At 39.8% G+C, this 16082-nt stretch overlaps 1 annotated feature.

Annotated features, from left to right (window-relative positions):
* Positions 11640–12141: an enhancer, noted in NCBI's record as "NANOG hESC enhancer chr9:107251464-107251965 (GRCh37/hg19 assembly coordinates)". NCBI's record gives its function as "activates a minimal SCP1, AML or CMV promoter by ChIP-STARR-seq in naive H9 embryonic stem cells {active_cell/tissue: H9 hESC(naive)}" and the evidence as "EXISTENCE:reporter gene assay evidence [ECO:0000049][PMID:30033119]".

Genomic DNA, 16082 nt, shown 5'->3' with positions numbered 1-16082 from the left:
CTTCAGCAAACTAACACAAGAGTAGAAAACCAAACACTGCATGTTCTCACTCATAAGTGGGAGTTGAACAATGAGAACACATGGACACAGGGAGGGGAACATCACACACGGGGGCCTGTTGAGGGGTCGGGGGCAAGGGGAGGGAGAGCATTAGGACAAACACCTAATGCATGTGGGGCTTAAAACCTAGATGATGGGTTGATCGGTGCAGCAAACCACCATGGCACATGTATACCTATGTTAACAAACCTGAACATTCTGCACGTGTATCCTGGAACTTAAAGTAGAATAAAAATTAAAAAAAAAAAGAAAAGAAAATCAACCGACTATATATTGCATGGATTTCCTTCCGAATTCTTTTATTCTGTTCTACTGATCTATTCATTTTTCTTTATGCCAATACCACAGTAGCTAGATCATTACAGATTTAAAATAAGTTCCTAATGAGGTAGTGTAAATCCTCCAACTTTATTCTTCTTTTTCAATGTTGTTTTGGCTATACTACGTCCTTTTCTTTTCCTACTAGCTTTGGAATTGTCAGTTTCTCCAAAACTGCTTCCTAGGTTTTGAGTGGTATGGCAGTAATTTGTAGATCAATCTTGGGAGAATTGATATCTTAATAATATTGATTCTGCTGATTCATGAACAATGTATCTCTCATTTCTATAGGTCTTTAAATTCTGTCTGCAATGTTCTGTATCTTTCAGTATAAAAGCTTTACAGATCTGCCAGGCGCGGTGGCTCAAGCCTGTAATCCCAGCACTTTGGGAGGCTGAGGCGGGTGGATCATTTGAGGTCAGGAGTTCCAGACCAGCCTGGCCAACATGGTGAGACCCCATCTCTACTAAAAATGCAAAAATAAGCTGGGTGTGGTGGCATGCTCCTGTAATCCCTGCTATTCGGGAGTCTGAGGCAGGAGAATCGCTTGAACCCAGGAGACAGTTTGGAGTGAGCCAAGATGGCACCACTGCACTCCAGCCTGGGTGATGGAGTGAGACTCTGTCTCAAAAAAAAAAAAAAAAAAAAAGTTAATTTTCCCTGTTATTTTATATTTTAAAATATGTGGTATTTTTCAAATATATATGCATTTCAATTTCTTTTTGTTGGTAAATAGAAATGCAAGTGGTGTGTATATGGTGACATATCCTGATAGCTTGATAAATTCTTTTATTAATTTTATTATTTACTGTGTGGATTCCTTGGAAATTTTTGTCACTGTTCACATACGCAATCTGGTTGTCTGTGAATGGGGACACTTTTCTTCTTTCTTTCCAACTGTAACCCCTTTTAGTTATTTCTCTTGTCTTATTGTTCTGGCTAAGACAGTCAATACAGTGCTACACACAAGTGGTGATAGTGGACATTCTTGCCTTGATCCTTGATCTTAGGAGGAGAACATTCAGTCTTTTAATTGACTTTTTTCTGGCTGTTTCACCTTGGACATATCTCCACATTCAGCCTCCTTTGTCTTGTGCTTAATTGGAGCGAATTGAAATAGATCATCTTTCATAACCCTTTCAAATATAATATTTCAAAACTCTGATATTCACTTGTATAAGCATCTTTCAGGCTATGTAATGATTCTTTCTTGCAGAGCTACAGTGAGTGCATTGATACTACAAATTTATGTGTATGTGTGCATATATAAAATAGAAAATTAAATATCTATTACATATAATCATATACCTCTGTCTCTTTATATTTTTTCTTGGACTAGATCTCTATTAATCACCTACGAATATCAGTTAAAGCTAAAGTGTAGACACTGGAGGGCAAGAATGAAAAATAACTAGACTAAGGGGTAGATAATTCCATGCTAGCAGAATAAGGAATCAAATCAATGTGAAAAAATAATAGGAGGTGATTCAGATTTGAAACTGTGAAGATCCAACATTGAATTGGAAGAGCAGAGGAGAAGCAAGAAAGTATCTGGAAGCATGGGCTGGCTGTCCAGTCAAAGAAGAACTAGGAAGGATAAAGCCACTTACCTGGAGTGTTGGGGAAGAGGCTAGATCTAAATATTTATCCATATGTCATCTTGTTTTTTCCAGCATTAAGGGCTCTGAGAATGCCTAGCTTGTCTAAAAGAGGGAGGTTGGTATGATATGGTGGTTCAGAGAGGAACTAGGAATAGGCCTAATAATATGCTTGAAAGCTAAACGAATTGAGATTTTTTTTTTTTTTTAACAATACCATGCTGCTGCTCTGTAACCCCTCTCTGGTTGTGACATGACAAATTGAAAGCTTATCTCATACAGACAAACATGGGATTAATCTAGTGACTGCCATGAAAACAACAGTGTTGAGAAAATAGATAAAGCAAAACCACAAATGTGTGTTCAAGGTGTGAGAACCTCCCAGGTGAGGCAAGTGTGGGCACAGGAGCTGTTAGAATGACAGCTTCTTTTGTTTGGAAGACCCAGGCAGTGCAAAATTAACATTTCTCATATTCCTGCTCTAACCACCTCCCTCCCCTCAAAAAGCAAGGAGGCACACAAAGACCACATTTTTCCTGCTCTATTCCTGATCCTGAATAAATTTTTTAATTAACAGCCACTAATTGTAAATTACTGTGTTTGTTAGGTGCTAGAGATAAGAAGATAATAAAGGTATAAGCCCTTTCCTGAGCATCCTCTCAATCTAATCAGGGAAATATATTATAATAACAGAATTATAGAACTATTTGTCAGTCACGGGGGTGAGCACCCTTTGCTGTGGTCTGGGAAGGATTGCAAAGGACATCATACAAAAAGTGCTACCAGAGTAGAATTTGAAAAGTTATCACATGCAGCCCAATGAGTATGTGAAAGAAAAGTCTTCCAGGCAGCGAATAACGGTATATTTAAACTTTGAGTTATAAAATGTCATTTTGCACTCAGGAAAAGATACGGAGATCCACGTGACTGGATCACTGAGTTTGAAAGAGGGAGTGCCAGGTAGTAAAACTGGCATTGTCACATGGGATAGTCTGTGCCAATTGAGGGCCTCTATAGTTCACATTTTAGGTGCTCAAAGGGGATTGTTACCAGAAGGAAAGCAATATAAATATGGCTTTATTTTTTTTTTTAATTTTTTTTTTGAGACGGAGTCTCACCCTGTCGCCCAGGCTGGAGTGCAGTGGCGCGATCTCGGCTCACTGCAAGCTCCGCCTCCTGGGTTCACGCCATTCTCCTGCCTCAGCCTCCCGAGTAGCTGGGACTATAGGCGCCTGCCACCATGCCCGGCTAATTTTTGTATTTTTAGCAGAGATGGGGTTTCACCGTGTTAGCCAGAATGGTCTCGATCTCCTGACCTTGTGATCCGCCCTCCTCGGCCTCCCAAAGTGCTGGGATTACAGGCGTGAGCCACTGCGCCTGGCCAAATGTGGCTTGAATTTTTAACAAATCACTTAAGGAATTGAGGAGAAGGGATTGAAAATAAGACTGAAATTAGAAGTCTCTCAATGAAAGTGGATGGGAGGAGTTTGGATCCTGAGATACTAAAACAGTCAGAGATGTACATTACTTGGGTTATATCGTCATCTGGTGTTCACTGTACAGTATTAATTCAGGGAGTTAGGCAGAATAGCATAATTGAACATAATTTGAGAGGACGAACTCTCAGTTGAGGTCATAATGTGGCCTGGTAGACATTAAAATAAGACATTGAAATGTTTTATTTTGACACATTGTAGAAGTTCCTGGGAATACCACCAAAGATGTATTGATGAAAGACACCAGGGGCTGGATACCCATTTCAGCGATCTCAGAAGAATCTATATGCAGAGATGATATGCAAATCACGAGGGAAGTGGCCTGATGAATATGTGGGGCTGAGGGAGTTTCTTTGCTATTTTACTGATCTCCCCCAAAGAAGATAATTGTTCATCCCCGAATGAATATAAATCTGGCTGAAAAGTCATTTTACCTTTCCAAAGATGAGTCAGGATCAATAAAAAGACAACTTCATCTTCCAAGAAGAAGGGCTGTTACTCAAGTTGAAGACTGCATGGAGAGCTGCAAATTTTCTAGAGGGGAAAGAGTGTTGAACCAAGATTAGGTTATTGCATAGGAGGGTATATTAGTTTGCTAAGGCTGCCATAACAACATACCACAACCAGAGTGAGTTCAACAACACAAATTTGTTTTCTCACACTTCTGGAGACTAGAAGTTCAAGATTGAGGTGTTAGCATGTTTAGTTTCTTCTGAGGCCTCTCTCCTTGTTCATCACTGGAGTCAACTGCCTCCTCTTGGCGTGTTCACAGGGTCATCTCTGCGTGTGCATGCATTTGATTTTTCTCTGTGTCCACGTTTCTTTTTATGGGAATACCACTCATATTGAATTAGGTCCCACTCTGAAGATTTTATTTTAACTCAATCACTTTAAAAAATTTTTTGGGCTGGGCGCGGTGGCTCACGCCTGTAATCCGAGCACTTTGGGAGGCCGAGGTGGGCGGATCACGAGGTCAGGAGATCGAGAAAATCCTGGCTAACACGGTGAAACCCCGTCTCTACTAAACAAAATACAAAAAATTAGCCGGGCATGGTGGCGGGCGCCTGTAGTCCCAGCTACTCGGGAGGCTGAGGCAGGAGAATGGCAATGGCATGAACCCGGGAGGCGGAGCTTGCAGTGAGCTGAGATCGCGTCACTGCACTCCAGCCTGGGCGACAGAGCGAGACTCCGTCAAAAAAAAAAAAAAAATTTGTAGAGATGGTGTCTTGCTTTGTTGCCCAGGCTGGTCTTGAACTCCCGGCTTCAAGTGGTCCTCCTGCCTTAGCCTTCCAAAATGTTGAGATTCAAAGTGTGAGCTACCATGTCTGGCCTTAATTGCCTCTTTAAAGGCCTTATCTCTAAATACGGTTTTATTCTGAGGGGCAGGAGGTTAGGACTGCAACAAATGAAATTTGGGGGACACTATTCAGTCTACAACAGAGGCATTGGTCGGCACCTGGGTAGCTTACAGTTCTTCAGGAACATACTCAGGGCCTATTATTAAGGCTAGTACCTTGGATGGGGGGAAAGGTTTGAGGTTCTGTGAAGTAATCCGACCACCAAAATCTATACTGATCTTTTCTCTTGGTAATGAGTTTGCTTCCTTGGTGCCAGAGAGCATGGTCCCTTGGTAAGCTTTATGGTACCTTTCTAAAATCAGGACACCAGCAAAGCAGATACTTTAGGCAAGTGTAGTGGTCATTGTTGAAATCTGAATGTACAAAATTGTGGTTTGCACAGCCTTTTCTGCACAGACAGCAAAGAAGGCATTGTCTCATCTCCAGGGAACAAGGACCTCAAGGCCTCGGGCTTTTGATGTCATCCCCTTTTGGCTTTCCAGTATAATTTTTGGTTAGTAAGGGTTCTCTAAGGTTATCACAGAAACTAGAGCAAATACAATCATGTCTAAGAAAAATGTTCAAGGAACAAAGTCAAAGAGGTGGGGCCACAAACTTCATCAAAAGGCGGTTTGCAGTGTGAAGCAGGAACACGGAGCAAAGCCAAGGCGTCTGGAAGTCATGGGACACAAGATCCAACCAACAAAAGATTCAAATCGTCAGACGAAGGCCTATATTGGTGAAAAAAGTAACCATTGGTGGGTGATATTTTGCATATTTTTGGAAGCATAGCAAGCGTGGAATAAATGTATTTAAATTTGACATTTGTGAGCTGTCACTTTAGGTCTGACAGACACTTTAGGTCTGACTCCCTTATATTGTATGATTGCCTATTTTGTGAATTAGGTTTCTTAGCTTTCTTTTTTTTTTTTTTTTTTTGACAGAGTTTCACTCTGTTGCCCAGGCTAAAGTATAGTGGTGCGATCTCAACTCACTGCAACCTCTGCCTTTCTCATTTAAGCGATTCTCCTGCCTCAGCTTCCCAAGTAGCTGGGATTACAGGCATGCACCACCATACCTGGCTAATTTTTGTGTTTTTAGTAGAGATGTGGTTTCACCATGTTGGCCAGGCTGGTCTCAAACTCCTGATAGTCAGCTTTTTTATTACCATTATGGAGGCTGGAATACAGTAACGACTAAGTGGAGATTTGTTAGATGAATAAATAGTTCATCACATAGGTAACATTCCTGCACACAGGCCCAAGGTAACAGGCAAGGAAAGGTTACACTGGCCTTCCCTGTGTACACACAGGGATGCAGCTCTATTTGTGAACCCTACACGACTACAATTTTCTAAGTATAGTTTTAATTGTCCTTGAAAGGATTAAGATACAATTCTTATGTGTCAAGTATACTTCAATAAAGCTTGATGCGGGAAGGGAAGTTTAAATTTAAGATCTCTGATGTTATAATCCCCTATTGCCACTAGATGGTGAAAAAGACTTGCTTGTCTTTGATGGAGCCCACCCTCCCCCTATGAAAAGCTTTCTCAGTGGAGAAAAAAAATGCACTGCTTTGTTTTTTGTTGTTATTAATATTTACAAATATAAACAAGCTTCTTTATATTTTTATTCAAATTATTTTAAAACATAATAAACTGTCGAAGAGAGTTGCTAGTGTCTTACATTGAAGATTAAATACTAAGGCAAAGCTCTGTGCTTAGTACTGAACTGGAGGCTGTGTGGGGAATAGACTAAGTATGGGGTTTCATCCCTGTCCTTGAACTGAAGGACACTTGATGTATGTCTTACATTAATGTGTCAGTCAATGGCTGCCTTGCCTGGCCATTGTTTATGGTAAATATAGATAAGCTGCGACTGAGCCCGGTGGCTCACGCCTGTAATCCCAGCACTTTGGGAGGCTGAGGCAGGTGGATCACGAGGTCAGGAGTTCGAGACCAGCCCGGCCAACATGGTGAAACCCCCGTCTCTACTAAAAAATACAAAATTAGCAGGGCGTGGTGGCACATGCCTGTAATCCCAGCTACTCGGGAGGCTGAGGCTGGAGAATTGCTTGAACCCAGGAGGCTGAGGTTGCGGGGAGCCAAGATCGCGCCATTGCACTGCAGCCTGGGCAACAAGAGCAAAACTCTGCCTCAAAAAAATATAGAGATTTATTTATATCCATATATATCTATATATAGATGGATTTATATCTATATCTATATATAGTTGGATTTTTATCTATATATCTATATATAGTTGGATTTATATCTATATATCTATATATAGAGAGATTCATATCTATATAGATCTATAGCTCCATGGACAGATTTATATCCATATAGATCTATAGCTCCGTGGATAGATTTATATCCATATAGATCTATAGCTCTGTGGATAGATTTATATCTATATAGATCTATAGCTCCATGGATAGATTTATATGTATATAGATCTATAGATCTATGTATAGATAGATTTATATCTATAGATATATAGATATACAAAGATATAAAGATCTATAGATATCTATATTTCAATGGCTATAGATCTATATATAGATAGATTTATATATAGATATGTCTATATATTTATATCTAGATATACCTATATATAGATAGATTTATATCATATATCTATATATAGATAGATTTATATCATATATCTATATATAGATAGATTTATATCTATGTATCTATATATAGATAGACTTATACCTATATATCTATATTATACATAAATCTATCTATCTATAGGATATATAGATATAAATCTATCTATCTATAGGATATATAGATATAAATCTATCTATCTATAGGATATATAGATATAAATCTATCTATAGGATATATAGATATAAATCTATCTATAGGATATATAGATATAATCTATCTATAGGATATATAGATATAAATCTATCTATAGGATATATAGATATAAATCTATCTATAGGATATATAGATATAAATCTATCTATAGGATATATAGATATAAATCTATCTATAGATATATAATATATAAATCTATATAGATATATAGAGATATCTATATATCTATATAGATATCTCTCTATATCTCTCTATATAGATATCTCTCTATATCTCTCTATATAGATATATATCTCTCTATATAGATATCTCTCTATATCTCTCTATATAGATATATATCTCTCTATATAGATATATATCTCTCTATATAGATATATATCTCTCTATATAGATATATATCTCTCTATATAGATATATATCTCTCTATATAGATATATATATATATTTTTTTGGGACAGAGATTTGCTCTTGTTGCCCAGGCTGGAGTGCAATGGTGCAATCTCGGCTCACCACAACCTCGGCCTCCTGGGTTCAAGCAATTCTCCTGCCTCAGCCTCCCGTGTAGCTGGGATTACAGGCATGCACCACCACGCCTGGCTAATTTTTGTATTTATCATATACTTATATATATATCTCTATATATTATATATTATCTATAGATATATATTATATATATATTATATATTATCTATAGATATATATTATATATATATTATCTATATCTATGTATCTATGTATATATATAGATATAGATAAGCTCTATGGGGACCACTTGTGGCTGCAGTGCTAATCCTGTTTCTGCTTTGTGTGATCACAAGAGAACAAAATAGGACATGGTGTTGGTTTCCATGGTAAGTGATTGTACAACTTCAGCCAAGGCAGAACTCAAGCTTATCCCATAGCATGGTTTCAATGGGGGCACGAACGGTGATGGCTTGCCTTGTGAAGACAGGCCCTCCTATTGTCAGTAAATGACTTCAAAGAAGGTATATTAGTTTGCTGGGGCTGTCATAACAAAGTACCACAAACTGGGTGGCTTAAACAATAGACATGTATTGCCTTACAGTTCTAACGGCTTGGAGTCCAGATCATGGGTTGGTTCCTTCTAAGGGCTGTGAGAGAGACTCTGATCCATGCCTTCAGCCTCTCTTCTGGTAGTTTGCTGGCATTTTTTTGGCATTCCTTGGTTTGTAGAAGCATCATCCCAATCTCTGCCTTCATCTTTACATGGCATTCTCCCTGTGTTTATTTCTTTGTACAGATTTTCCCTTCTTATAAACACATCAGTCATATTGGATTAGGAGCCTGCACTACTTAGTTATGACCTCATCTTAATTAATTGCATCTGCAATGGCCCTGTTTCTAAATAGGTCACACTCTGAGGTACTGGAGATTTGGACTTCAACATATTAATATTTGGGAGGCACAATTCAACCCATAATAGAAGGCCTTAAAACTATTTCCCAAGTTGGGATTTTAAGTATCCTCTGGTGGATTTCTTTCATTTTTTGTGTGTGTTGGGGGGTGGTTAAGTTTTATGAGATGGTCAACATGGCCATTGTATAGAAATGTTTGAAATGTGTCATTAAATCTTTATGCTAAAAAGCAAGAATAAATTATTTCTTTTTCTCTTTTTCCTTCCTTCCTTCCTCCCTTGCTCCATCTCTCCCTCCCTTCCTTCCTTTTTTTTATACATGATGTCGTGCTTACATCTGGTACATGACTGAAAAATTATGAGTCAGAAGAAAATAGAAGGGGCTTAAAAGTAGGACAGGATGGGAGACAGAGATTGTAATATATCAAAATGTTGGCACTCATACTTCATGTTTTAAAGAAAAAATGGCAACATAAAGCCTCATTAAGTTCTGAATGACCAAGTTTCCTACAGCAAATATTCTAAGACCTCTTATGTGTGCCCAGTTTTCATTTTTTGTTTTTGTTTTTGAGCCTTGAAGAGCACTAGTTTCTTATCTCATAGGCAAAGGCAAGATGCTCCTTGTAATGTTATTCTGTATTCTATTTTCTATCCAAGATGATGTCCATCAGGAAATGATGTTACCTATAGCAGCCAAACTGGCCACTTAAAAGACTGCCCAAGAAGAGGATGTTAGCAAGTGATTGTGCTTTAGCAATGAAATGAGTCAACTGCAGTTACCTTATAGCTGGGTTTTAGTGTTGTATAAATTTGTCTTCCCAACATGTGTTATTTACATCAACTATATTTAGAAAAATATTTTGCTCATTAATATCCACAAGAAACTTTTGAAAAATACTTTCTGTGTGAAGGCCCAGTTTCCAGCCCAGAGAACTTTGAGCTGGATAAGGCATGATCTCTGTCTTGAGGAGGAGTGTACCCTCATGGAGTTGAGCTCATTTAATAACCTGGATATACACATGTGCATGTCTGCAGCACGAATGACCTGAATGCCCATTGTGATCAGTGCCAGAATACAGGGCAAGTGTCAGATACTTTGCAGGTGGTTGATGAAGATACCATGTCAGCCTGTGGGTTATTCTTGCACTCTTGCTATTCCCTCTTTTCTCAAACCTCATTGACCATTCTGCTGGCCACTTTTAAGGGTCAGGCAAGTGAGGGTACACATAACACCTGGGTATGTCTTTGAGCATATCTGTTGAGTCATGATTGTCATCATGATTAGTGTCCTCTTCCCCAATGAAGGACAACTCTTGAATGTCCTCTCTTAACCTTAATGTGCTCATTAATTGTTTAATTCTTCAGCATTCTCAAATAACATTATTTTAATACTTAACTCTTTTCACTGGCTTAAATTTATTTTCAAAACCCTCAACTTAGCTTCATTTAACAGCTTTTTAATGTGTGGAATGATGGATTCCTGCATATAAATGTATAGTTTATTAATGTAATGGAGTCACATTGCCGTGGAAGAATTCTTCCTAATTTTATGCCAGGTTAACTATGCTTCTGCAGAGAACACTGCATCTTTCAGATGCTCTGCCAATGGATTTAAGTGTGAGACCGGCTAGTATAAGAGAATGCAACCACAGATCTGGCCGGAGAACTGCCAGTTAAAATATATATTACTAAAAATAGCCCTCTCCCTCTCCCCTCTCCCCTCTCCCGTCTCCCCTCTCTCCACGGTCTCCCTCTGATGCCGAGCGGAGGCTGGACTGTACTGCCGCCATCTCGGCTCACTGCAACCTCCCTGCCTGATTCTCCTGCCTCAGCCTGCAGAGTGCCTGGGATTGCAGGCGCGTGCCACCACGCCTGACTGGTTTTTGTATTTTTTGGTGGAGACGGGGTTTGGCCGTGTTGGCCGGGCTGGTCTCCAGCTCCTGACCGCGAGTGATCTGCCCAGCTCGGCCTCCCGAGGTGCTGGGATTGCAGACGGAGTCTCGCTCACTCAGTGCTCAATGTTGCCCAGGCTGGAGTGCAGTGGCGTGATCTCGGCTCGCTACAACCTCCACCTCCCAGCCGCCTGCCTTGGCCTCCCAAAGTGCTAAGATTACAGCCTCTGCCCGGCCGCCACCCCGTCTGGGAAGTGAGGAGCGTCTCTGCCTGGCCGCCCATAGTCTGGGATGTGAGGAGCCCCTCTGCCCGGCCGCCCAGTCTAAGATGTGAAGAGCACCTCTGCCCGGCGGCGACCCCGTCTGGGAACTGAGGAGTGTCTCTGCCTGGCCGCCCATCGTCTGGGATGTGAGGAGCCCCTCTGCCCGGCCGCCCAGTCTGGGAAGTGAGGAGCGCCTCTTCCCGGCCGCCACCCCGTCTGGGAAGTGAGGAGCGTCTCTGCCCGGCTGCCCATCGTCTGGGATGTGAGGAGCCCCTCTGCCCGGCCGCCCAGTCTGGGAAGTGAGCAGCGCCTCTTCCCGGCCGCCATCCCGTCTGGGAAGTGAGGAGCGTCTCTGTCCGGCCGCCCATCGTCTGAGATGTGGGGAGCGCCTCTGCCCGGCCGCGACCCCGTCTGGAAGGTGTGCCCAACAGCTCATTGAGAACGGGCCATGATGACGATGGCGGTTTTGTCAAATAGAAAGGGGGGAAATGTGGGGAAAAGAAAGAGAAATCAGATTGTTGCGGTGTCTGTGTAGAAAGAAGTAGACATAGGAGACTCCATTTTGTTCTGTACTAAGAAAAATTCTTCTGCCTTGGGATGCTGTTAATCTGTAACCTTACCCCCAACCCCCTGCTCTCTGAAACATGTGCTGTGTCCACTCAGGGTTAAATGGATTAAGGGCGGTGCAAGATGTGCTTTGTTAAACAGATGCTTGAAGGCAGCATGCTGGTTAAGAGTCATCACCACTCCCTAATCTCAAGTACCCAGGGACACAAACACTACGGAAGGCCACAGGATCCTCTGCCTAGGAAAACCAGAGACCCTTGTTCACATGTTTATCTGCTGACCTTCCCTCCACTATTGTCCTATGACCCTGCCACATCCCCCTCTCCGAGAAACACCCAAGAATGATCAATAAATACTAAAAAAAATAATAATAAAAAAAATAAAAAATAAAAATAGCAATAGGAGCCCTTGTAGTAAGACATGGCCAAAAATGAAAGGCAACATACTAAAATAAGACATCAGCCGTGCCTTTGCAGAGTCACACAGACGGAAGATGGCATCTCATTTGTTTTCACTTACACTGTTTTCCTAGGATTCAGCACATTGCTGGTGCTTTGTAAATACATGTTATCAAACTGTATAATTGAACAGATTGAAAACAGTTAACCCAGTAGTTCTGAAATTGGAGGTCCTCTTAAGAACTATTTAAAGAATCAGCAATTTATTTGATAAATGACTTGCAGGCAGGTCACAAGATTACAAGTCTAAATGTTTTTATTATTAATGTAATTATTTTTAAGGATAAACAAATAGAAATTGATAAATGTAATTGAAGTATGGTCTTCAAAGTCCAATCAAATAATATCAAATCTGAACATCGGTAAATTAATACACCCCAAAAGTTGTATATCATGGAATAAATTTAAATTCTTTGTAATGCTTAGTATTTTTATTTTACATTTTTATTTATTTATTTATTTATTTATTTTGAGATGGAGTCTCATTGTGTCGCCCAGGCTGGAGTGCAGGGGCGCAATCTTGACTCACTGCAACCTCCACCTCCTGGGTTCAAGCGATTCTCTTGCCTCAGCCTCCCAAGTAGCTGGGACTACAGGTGCATGCCACCACGCTTGGCTAATTTTTTGTATTTTTGGTAGACACGGGGTTTCACCATGGATGCTAACTTAGTATTAACTCACCGTAGTGCCTAACATGGTGTGCCTGACTAGCACATGGAGTTGAATCACACTTAGCCAGTTCTTGGTAAGCATTTATTCATTTAAAACTGAAGGAGAAATGTCCAAAACATGGCCTCAAATAAAAATCAATGAAAATTTGTTCATAATTAAAACTTTACACAATTATGGCAGATGTAAAGGTTTCATTCAGCATTTCTTCAGTTCCTACTTTGTACCAAGTATCCAGACTTAATGATGCAACTTATTTTTCTGAACTTTATTATTTGAAAACAACAATTTTTCTTATTATGTTGATTTAGATTATATTGTATATGATTATCTATTAATTATGATTAATAGAGACAGAGTTTCTTTTATTAAGCTCCTGTTAGAAACAAACTTCTTCCCACTCCGAGAAAGATCAAATTATTCCTACCCTTTAGAATTCCTGAATTCCATAAAAAATTAATGCCCTGAATATTTCAATTAGGAAATATGTGCAGTAATTAATTTGTTTAAGAGCTCGGTAAAGAGTCTTTCAAAGACACTCAGTTCAAGGAGGATGTTAATGATAACAAGAGGTCTCTCAATATTGACATCATGTTTGTGCTAAGGTCATAGACTGTCATTATAACTTCAGTGTTTTGACATGTGCTGACATGTTTAACTTGCTGAAACACATTTAAATATTTCTGTAAATCACCTACCAAAAACGAAGACTATGCTTAACAAGTATCCTTGAGAAATGACTGCAGCATCCATCATGAAGTCATGTTACAAAGAGTCAAAGTTGCTAGTCCTTTTGCAGAGAATTTCCTGTGTGTCCTAATGGGACCAGTGAGAGTTGGTGTTGTCGTTTCTGTAGGAGTCATGATAAAGTGTCTTCAATGCTTGTAGGTAGATAAAATCATTCTCCATGAGAGTATCTCATAGGACTCAGCACACAATATCCAAGAGTTTAATCATGTACAGACATAACCATACAGTTTACAAACTGGTACGAGGATAAATGACTAAATTATGGACAATGTCCAAGCTTTACTAAAGTGGCCAGGCTATAAGAAGGGAAAATTGTCACTGAATTATCTGCAAGGTGCATGCTCCCATTAACAAAAGAGTGGCCTTATCTGCTTGAGTCTAGAAAAGGAGGAATTTTGTACCACATAGAGACACTTTATCTAAAAGACAGTCTGACCACTAGAAAATGAACAGGATTAGGGGACATGGAGAAACCATTAGCTTTTCTTTATCTTTGTTGAAATATTCCTCAAGAGTATCCTATTTCTTTTCTCTGATTTTTTGTTACTGACAAACTTTTGACAACACATCCATTTCCAAACTACCTAAGTATCTGGTATCTAATGGCAGGAGAAGAGTGTCCTGGGCTTGTTGGAAGTGTTTATTCCTTGGTAAATTAGTAAATCTGCTGTTTATTCTTCCATGGTAAATTGATAAATCTGTTAGTGTCTGCTTTATCATTTATCTCTTGAGAATTTGGTTGTTATGAACCAGCCCCTAAGAGGCCAGTTAACTCTTGCCACACTGATAAGTTAAATTTCTGAGACCAAAATAATTAAGGGGGCCAGGTATGGTGGCTTACGCCTGTAATCCCAGCACGTTGGGAGGCCAAGGAGGGGTGGATCACTTGAGGTCAGGAGTTGGAGACCAGTCTGGTCGACATGGTGAAACCCCATCTCTACTAAAAATACAAAAATTAGCTGGGCATGTTGGCAGATGCCTGTAATCCCAGCTACTTGGGAGGGCTGAGGCATGAGAAACGCTTGAACCTGGTAGGCAGAGGCTGCAGTGAGCCGAGATCACGCCATGCCCCCATGACCCAGACACCAGTTCCCACCTTCAACACTGGGGATCACATTTCAACATGAGATTTGGAGGGGACAGACATCCAAACTGTATCACTATCCGTTGATTAGTAGGTGACTTTAAACATCCACATTTTCTCAAAAACAGACTTTTCAAAGTCTTTAAAACAAATCTACCAACTTATAAGTACATGGATGAGGTCAAGTCCCTTTATATATCTTGTAGTTTGCAAGACACAATTTGATACTACATGTCCTAGCATGCCAATATAATCCTTCTGCTATTGCCCTCCTTGTAAACCTGGGCCCAATCAACTATCACATTCCACCTTCATGCCTCAGTTCTTCCAGGCTTTATAATGGAAAGGGCTTGTGCCCGGTGCAACGGTTCAGTATAACAACAGCAATAAAAAATTTATGAGTGATTATTATGAGCTAGCCAATATGCTGGATACTTTAATACATATTTAATTATCTAATTAGCTCTTCACCCTGTGAAACAATTTCCATTTTACAGATTAAGTAATAGAGGCTTTTCATAATAAAATAACCTGTTCAGAGTCACACAGTGGAATACGTAAAGTTTGAGCCTAGGCTTATCTGACTTTAGGATCCAGGCTCTTTATGGTATGACCTGCTGTCTCTCTCTAATTTACTAAATGAGCTTTAGTGGAGATCTTGTCCTTTACTAGTACTATAACTTTCTGGTAGCAAAAACTCATACATTACAAACAACCTTGATGTTACAGTGGGATAGATCTCACCAGTTAAGACAATGGACTACAGAATGTAGCATCTAGTAATTGAGCTGGTTTAGGATTTCTTAATAGAATTCAATTTAACCAAAAGATTTTTGATTATTAACTAACTCAGTCATGGTTGGGCTGGGTTGATTGTGGCTTAATTGCTCTAGGGCCCTTTGCTTTGGCAATCTTTTCACAAATACTTAAAACTGAGTTCATTGTCTGTTGTCTGTGAAGGGCTACTAGATTTACCATTTAGGCTGAATATTCTCAGTAGCTCAAGATCTCACAAAAGAGATGGTAAGATAAATATCATCTCAATGAAATATGTTAACAACCACATTAACAAATTGCTGTGGGAAGAAGAGGGGAGAGCACTGAATCTCCTGGGTTTCTGGGAGAGCTTTACCAGTGAGGAGGTATCATTTGCTCAGGTCTATAAAGGACAGACTGGGAGTTTGCTAGGTGAAGAACTGAACAGGAAGGAGGGCTTTTGCAGACAGTGGGCCCAGGTTCTCCAAAAGTATTGACATATGAAAGAATTCTGTAAGTTCATAGAATGATGAGAAATTCAGTGTGGTGGGTTTTTATTTTTATTTTTGTAATTGTGAACACATTGGCTAAAGATTGAGAGAGGTAGCATGTATGTCAGAGCCATATCA

The sequence above is a fragment of the Homo sapiens genome, chromosome 9 (genome assembly GCF_000001405.40).
Source record: "Homo sapiens chromosome 9, GRCh38.p14 Primary Assembly".
Taxonomy (NCBI): domain Eukaryota; kingdom Metazoa; phylum Chordata; class Mammalia; order Primates; family Hominidae; genus Homo; species Homo sapiens.
Note: the sequence above shows the minus strand (reverse complement) of the source record. Positions and strands in the feature narration are given on the sequence as shown.